At 50.9% G+C, this 7,745-nt stretch overlaps 1 annotated feature.

Moving 5' to 3' along the window:
* Positions 5,593–6,148: an enhancer, noted in NCBI's record as "H3K4me1 hESC enhancer chr1:48108761-48109316 (GRCh37/hg19 assembly coordinates)". NCBI's record gives its function as "activates a minimal SCP1, AML or CMV promoter by ChIP-STARR-seq in naive H9 embryonic stem cells {active_cell/tissue: H9 hESC(naive)}" and the evidence as "EXISTENCE:reporter gene assay evidence [ECO:0000049][PMID:30033119]".

Raw genomic sequence — 7,745 nt, 5'->3', positions numbered from 1 at the left:
GAGAGTCCAACCTGTGAGGGGCTAAAGACCCAGAAAGCTCCCATCTCCTTCACAAGAGTCCCAAGGGGGCACAGCAACTACCTAGAGGATCTCCCAAGACCTGTGCTGGCTCCAGCCTGTGACTTGTTAGAGCTCCTCCCTGCCTGAGACACAGGCTGTCCTGAGATGCATGCTGGGCCATCAATCCTGACTCCCTCCATACCCTATCAAGTATACAAGCCTGCCCCAATAAAAGCTGACCCCCAAGACTCCACCCAACCACCCACCTCTAAATAGAGGAAATGAGCTAAAAAACTGGGCCATCTATGTTACATGCCACCCCCCCAACTCCAAATTCCCACTCCCCAAACACTGACTCATTGTAACCTCTTTTAAGCTGTCTCTGCAACAATCAATTGGAAAATGGAAAGATTGGTCCCTGTTGATGCTAAATGAAATGACCAACTACAGATCTGGGGAGTCCTGGAAATTTGGAAATGCGTAGAATTTCCAAGTAATCAACTCAGAGAATCATACAGGCAAACATTAAACATTTACAAGGTGTCAGGCCCTATGTGGGACCCTGGAGACTTGAAAGTACAGGACAGTCTAGAGTCAGAGAATCCTACAAACTGTAGCATCATGAATTTTTCAGGTCCTGGAATCTAGAATCACAAGATATTAGATAAGTAAAATCTAGAATCACGGGACCTTGGAAACCCAGAACCTTAGGGCTACACAGAGCCAGCACAGGTTGCTGGAGGTCTCTGTACGTCATGCTTTATTTCAACCAGGCCAGCCCACCCTGCACGGGAGGCAAGTTTGGAGAAGAAAAGACATTTCCAGTACAATGTCAGTGAGGGGGTGGCAACCAGGACACATACCAGCGAGAGGAAACTGGCCCGAAGGATGAGAAAGGGGCAAATGGCAGGAGCTCTGCTGAGGCATGAAGTGGCTCCGAAATAAAGACCAAGGACACAGGGACCCCTGATAGGATAAGGAAAGGCCAAACTGGAGGCAGACCTTCTTGACTGGTCTCGTTTCCTGCTAATGGAGGATTTCCCAGGTCCTGGACAAAGCTGAGACAAGTCAGCTCATTGCTGGGTGGCTCTGATGGGAAGACTGCTTATATGGCTCTGGAATCAATACAATCTGGAATATCCTCATCCTGTCCTGGTTCTGGCCTCTGTAGAATGCCAGACTAATGGAAGAGGGTTCGCAGTACTTTGTCCCGCATCAGCAAGGGCACTTCTGACAAGGACAAGCACATAAGCAAAAGCAGAGAGGCCAGAGCATGGGGCATGTTCACAGAAAGTAAATACGTCAGGGTGTCCAGGTCACAATGGGACAATGGAAAAGAGAAGATGCTGGACGCTGGGATAAAATGGCAAAGGCCCAGGAGGCTCAGAGGCTGGACTCTGCGTGCCTCTCCTACATCTCTTGGTAGCATGGTCTATGGCACTGTCAGAGGCCAGGGGAGATTGCTCATTGCCTGGTTCCCAATGGGGTCTTGGCAGGGACCTCTTATTCTCCCTATGGCAGGTCTGTGGGATGCCCTTTCCCTGCCCCTGGGTGGCTCAGTGAGGCCCTGGAGGAGCCATGTGGTGGGCTCAAGGTGTAATGTGCAGGCTTAAGTGTCTCTAAAACAACTAGTAAAAACCCTGACCAAATCCAAACCAGATGCCCCAGGGCGTGCAGGGTTGAGAGCTGTCAGCACCTCTGCATTTTCACCTGCTCATGTGGGTTGCACCTGTAGGCGGCCTGGACGCACGATAGCTTCAGGCTGCCCACCAAGTTCAGCCCCCAACTGGCCTGAACTTGGAGACACTGAGGGGCTGTAGGGTAAGGCCATAGATTGCTGCTGGGACAGTTCCCACCTCTGATTATTTTCCCCTTCCTCCTAATTCCCAATACAGGCTCTGAGGATTTATTAATGTCTAAACTATACTCCCTTGTGAGGAGAAATTGGGCAATTACCTTTTCTGTCTGAGCCTCAGTTTTCCTATAAGCAACATGGGCACATTAATAATGACCTCCTAGTTTACTGGATAGTTCCTTCATTCAATTAAACAAATACTTATTGGGCATTCATTGTGGGTCAAGTATTGGATGAGGTACTGGGAATATGATGGTGAACAAAACAGACATGATAGACAGGCAAAACAAGTCTACACACAAACAAATATACAATTTACAAATTGGGTTAATGCTTTGAAAAGGACATGCTAGGTGCATGTGTGCATGCTACAGAGCATTCAAAGGGGTAGGGGTGAAGGAAGCCTGTCTGGAGAAATGATATCTGAGCTGAGACCTGAATGCTGAGTAAGAGTAAGCCAGAAGAAGGGTTTGGGGCAGAGTGTGTCATGCACAAGAACAGCATGTGCCAAGGCCCTGAGGCAGGGAAGCACTTGACTCATCTCCTTCTCATGGGCAGAGAGCAAAAAGAGAGGGGGAAGTAGCATGAGGTGAAGCTGGCAAAGTAGACAGAGAACAGAGCAGGCAGGAAGCCCCCAACTGTGTTCAACAGGGGCTTCGTACAACTCTACTTACAGCTTTAAAAGATTATGCCAGTGGGAGTTTGTGATCATGGATAAAACTTCACCTCCCATCTGCAAGAACTTCTAGGATCTGAGGCTTCAGAGATGAAGGAATTGGCCCAAAGTCATCTGGCCAGTAAGTGCCAGGATCTAGTATATAAGCAGGTCCTTCCCAGTCCCAGGGCTGCCTCCTTAACAATCAGAATGTGCTTACTGCCATCCTTGACCTCATTTGGCCCTTCCAGCCCTTGGGGAGGGAGGCAGATACAGAGGTCTTCAATTCCCTGACCCAGTTCAGGAAGCCCAGGCCCAGGGAGGTGAATGGGCTTACCAGGCATCATGCAACACATCAGTGGAACATGGCCCAGTAGCTTGTCCTCTGACCTGAAGTTAGATGAGATTATTCCCCAGAATGAGCACTCTATCAAGAACCTGGCCCTGTGGGAATGAACAGCCTCAAGGATGGAGATAAAATGTTAGGGCAGAGAAAGGAGGCAAAAGTCACACCAAAGGAGCACAGGTACGAGGCTCAAGGTGCCAAAATTTGTCCAGTGGAAAGAAGGTCTGGGAGTGAAGGGGAACGAAGCACGGTGGCACATCTGAGAACACCATGTAGACAACTGACCACTGTGCAAAGCTCACAGTGCTGATGATTGCCCTTAATTTGTCCCAGCCCTTCCTGGGAGCTACATCCCCACAGCGTACCTGTTTTCTCTGCCCCAGAACATGCCTACCAATACTTAAAGGCAGTAGCTCTGCCCTGTGTCTGAGCAACTCCTGGCACAGCTGCCCAGCTCCTGCCATCGTCATTGCCAGGACGGAACCCCAGTCCCTCTCCATCTCCCTTGCAGAGTGTCTCTCCCAGCCAGAGTCACAAACCCCACCTCAATATAGTCCAAGCAGCTTGGAGTCTGCAAGGGCTGTGATCCCCTTCTTTCTCTCATGATCTCTCTGTTGGTTCAGCCCAGATTTAACTCCTTCCACTGCCATGTGATACTCAGGACCACTCTCACTGTTCCCCTGGAGCTGTGGCCGCACTGGCCTGCCCATAGTCCCTCTGTCTCACAGACTGCTCCAGCCTCTTTCCTGGGCAAATGCCTGCCATCCTTGAAGGCTTAGCTCAGCCATCTCTTCCCTGTCCTCCAGAGCTCAGAGCAGGTACCCTAGTCCTCCTCCAGGAAGTCTCCTCCGATCTCAGGGAGGAGCCTCTCCTCTGGGCTCCTGCAGCCCCATCCTTCTCTTGCCTCTCCAGGTGGACTGTGAAGCTTGTGAGGGCAGGGTTTATGTCTTCCTGGTCCCCGGTTCCCGGAGCCTCACATGTGGTAGGAGGTCAGTAAATGTCTAGATCTCTTCCCTTTCCTTTCTGGGAAGAGAGCCCAGCAAAAAAACTTGAAGCATAAAAAAACCAATTTGAAATTTGAACAGTGGTTGTTTAAATCTCCCAGTATCTAATAGAATAAAGTCCTCCTCGGCCAGCCTTCCCTAGGGTCACGGCTGCCCCAACCCCACCCTCTCATATTGCAACTGAGATGACCTCGGATCATTTATTCCCCACCCCGCAGGGCCACGGGCTTCCAGCTTTCCTTTCCTCTCTCCCCTTCTCTCCCTCATGGCCAGTGGAGTGGGTTAAGTGCAACGGAACCTCAACTCTTTCACCAGGTGTCCTGGATGTGGTGTGACTACTCGAACCCCCACCTTAAAACAGGAGGCTGATTCCTGCTATGGAACAGGCCTTCAAAAAATGTCAGTTCCCCTTTCTTGCCTTCTTTCCCTGTATAAATTGTTTTTCTCTCCCAATATCAGGAGTTAATCCCTCTTGCCCAGGAAGCTTTCCCTGACCTCCCCATCCTCCAACTTTGCCGAGCTTGAAAACTAGGTGGCCTCCAGCTCACTCATGTCTCTGTCGGTCCCTTAATCGAAGAGCTGCGGGGCAGAATGGAGCTGCCTCTAAGCCTGGATAAAGGTGAAATCCAACAGTTGAGAGAGGTTATTTTTGGACCTGACACAAATGCTAAATGAAGAGCCCCCAGCCTTCCAAGCAATCTTTGCTTTGTGCTCCAAGGCCCAAAACTAACATTTTCATAATAATTTTCCAGTATCAAAGTGATAGTTTTGATTCAAGACAGCTGAAGCCTGCAAAACTGTGTGGCAGCCTCTCCCACCCTCGAGCCAAACATGTGCCTCTGTCTCTATTTTAACACCTTTGATAATCATCGAAAAATGCACGGCCCAAGCAGTTTTCTCAGCTTTCTGACCATAACAGCTGCCTCTGGAAGGAGTCCGTTGGAAGTCTGTTTTCCTTCTGCATTACTCTGAGCCCAGGGCTTAGTTCTCCCAGTTCGCCTGGCTTTCCACCCTCCCTCTCTGCATTCCATTAGTAATGTCTGATTAAGGAATTGGCCTTTCTAGTGCTATTAAAAAAAGGGGGAGCCCAAGAAATACAGTAACACAATATCATGGAAAACTGATATAATCTTTTCAAAACTATAAAGATTGCTCACCCAGAGGAACATCTGCACAGAAAAAGAAAAAGGTTTTAAACAAACTGGAAAGGGGTCGGGTAACTTGTAAAGCCTGGAGTGCTGAGGAGATGCTGGCTCGTCCTCGGCCTGCTGTCACTCTGTAGGGGAAGGCCATCCTCGGAGGAGCCAGCTCCCTCACTGAGAGCTCCCACCATCTGGAATTCATTGCAGGATGGAACACATTTCATTTGCGTTTGCAAAAAGAAATTCGGTCTTACAATAATTGTTCCTTAAATCATTAATATGGCCCGAGCACCAGATGGAGAGTCAGAAGACAGCAGGGGCCCAGGGCCAGAGTCCTGGCCCACCCCCCTGCCCTCTCCCTTGGAAGCTCCGGCCACCTCCTCCTGGGAAGCAGCCTCAGGTCAAATTCTAGGCTCTTACCCCAGCCAGATTTTGGCTGCCCTGGAGAAGAAACTGCTGCAAAACAATGATTTGCAAAGATCCTTTTGGTTCCTGGTGGCTTCCGGACTCCAAGACTTGGAAAGGGCTGAAGCTCATACCGTCCCCACATGAGACCTGGCCCTCTAAGCACCCACACTCCCCAGAGGACTCAAGGCACCTTTGGTGGTGAGTCGGCAAAGGCGGCATCTGCCGCGCTCAGGGAACCTGCTGAGATGAACTCACACGCTGGGCCACATTAACACACGGCATAGCCAGCACGGGCAAGGCCAAAACCGGGGACTCTATCTGTTCCACCACCAGCATCCTGAGGTGGAAGGGGTTACTGTGGGCCCTAGTCACTTGGTCTTAGAATAACAGGATCTGCAGATCCGTGCATCCAACTGCCTGAGACGTCTGGAAGCACAGACTCTTAACAGCAGAGAGCTCTAGAAACTTTAGACTCTCCAAGCCTCTCCCCTTGGTATAGGGAATCCCAAATGCTGAACTTGTCTCCACGCTTGGAAGTGTTGATTTGCTGAAGAGGTGGTAGTGGGGCCTGGGAAGCCTGGAGACCCACACAGGTGCCTGAGCCTCCAGGGACTGGGAGAGCCCTCAGGACAGAAGGGAGGCTCCTACCCTTGGACAAGGAGTGCCTCTGGGCAAGGGTCTCTGCCCCAGAGTGCTGGGTGGGGTCACAAGGGGGATGGGCTCCCCTTGCTGGTAGTCAGGACCTCTCCACTTCCTTTCCTCCTCTGCCCCAGGAACTGCCCCAGGCCACTGCTCTGTGCTTCCGATCCTGACTCTGTTCGGCCTGCGCTTCCGCCTTGAGTGGAGACCCATGTATCCAAATGCCTGCCAGACACCCTCTCCTTGATGTCTCAAGGCTCTGAGACCCAGCACGTCCCAATCAGGACTCTTCATCACCCTGAAGTGGCTCCTCCTCAGTGCTCCCTATCTCAGAGAAAGCACCACCATCCACCAGGTGCCCCACCCTGAACCCAGGGACTCCTCCCTGACACCTCTCTTGCCCTCTCCTCTCACATCCAGTTTCCAAAATCTAAAGCCCCATCCATCCTTTCTTCCACCGATTCCTCAAATCCATTCACATCTTTCCAGCCTCACTACAATGCCCTCGTTCAGGCCTCACCATTTCATGCCTGCCTCACCGCAGCATGTACTGGAATGATGTCCAGACCCCCCACCTGCCCATTCATCCTCCACCCAGCAGCCAGGGCCATCTTCCTAAAACACAGAACTTACCTGGGCTCTCTCTGCTCAAAACCGTTACATTAATTCTTCATAGGAAATACTCCCCACATCATCACTGTGCTAGTCCAGATGGGATAGGATATGCCGTGGTAACTAATATCTCAGAATTCTCAAAGTTAAACTATCAATGTTTCTCACTCACACATGGCCATTAAGAGTTGATGGGGGCTCACTCAGGTCCTGGGCTACTGGAGCAACTGCCATCTTGAAAGTTGTCAGTCACTGTGATGGAAGGAAAGGCTGCCTTGGAAGGTGGTGCATTGGCAATTAACACTTAAGCCTGGGCTGGGCTTGGTGGCTCATGCCTGTAATCCCGGCACTTTGGGAGGCCGAGGCAGGTGGATCACCTGAGATCAGGAGTTGGAGACCAGCCTGGTCAACATGATAAAACCCCTTCTCTACTAAAAATACAAAAAATTAGTGGGGCATGATGGTGCACGCCTGTAATCCCAGCTACTCGGGAGGCTGAGGCAGGATCACTTGAACCCGGGGAGGTGGAGGTTGCAGTGAGCAGAGATTGCACCACTGCACTCCGGCCTGGGCGACAGAGGAAGACTCTGTCTCGAAAAAAAAAAAAGAAAAGAAAAAGAAAAAAGAAAAAATTACTTAGGTCTGGAAATGTGGAAATGGCACATGCCACTTCTCACATGCATCGGCTGGAACTGGTCACGTGGAACCATTCACCCACAAACGAGCCAGGAGGGCCACCCTCCCATGTGCTCAGAAGGGGAGAGCCAGGAAGAGTTGATAACGCCCCAGTCACACACTCCCTTCAGTGCCTTGAAAGTCCATGCTCTCTCACCGCTATGCCTTTTGGAAAGCTGTTCCCTCTGCCTGAAGCCCTCATCCTCACAAGTCACTTAGGTAACGCTTGCCCATCCTCGGCCTCGCCCTGAGAAGCTGGCTCTGGATCTCCCACTCTGCTGGGAGCCCCTCCTCCGGGCTTTCTCAGCTCCACTCACACTCTATGAGAATTGGCTACTTATTGTCTGCTCCTTCTTGGACTGTGAGTTCCATGAACACCAGGTCTTGAGAACTTTGTTTACTACCCTAC

This window comes from Homo sapiens, chromosome 1 (genome assembly GCF_000001405.40).
Source record: "Homo sapiens chromosome 1, GRCh38.p14 Primary Assembly".
NCBI lineage: Eukaryota > Metazoa > Chordata > Mammalia > Primates > Hominidae > Homo > Homo sapiens.
This window is presented reverse-complemented; position numbering and strand designations above follow the sequence as displayed.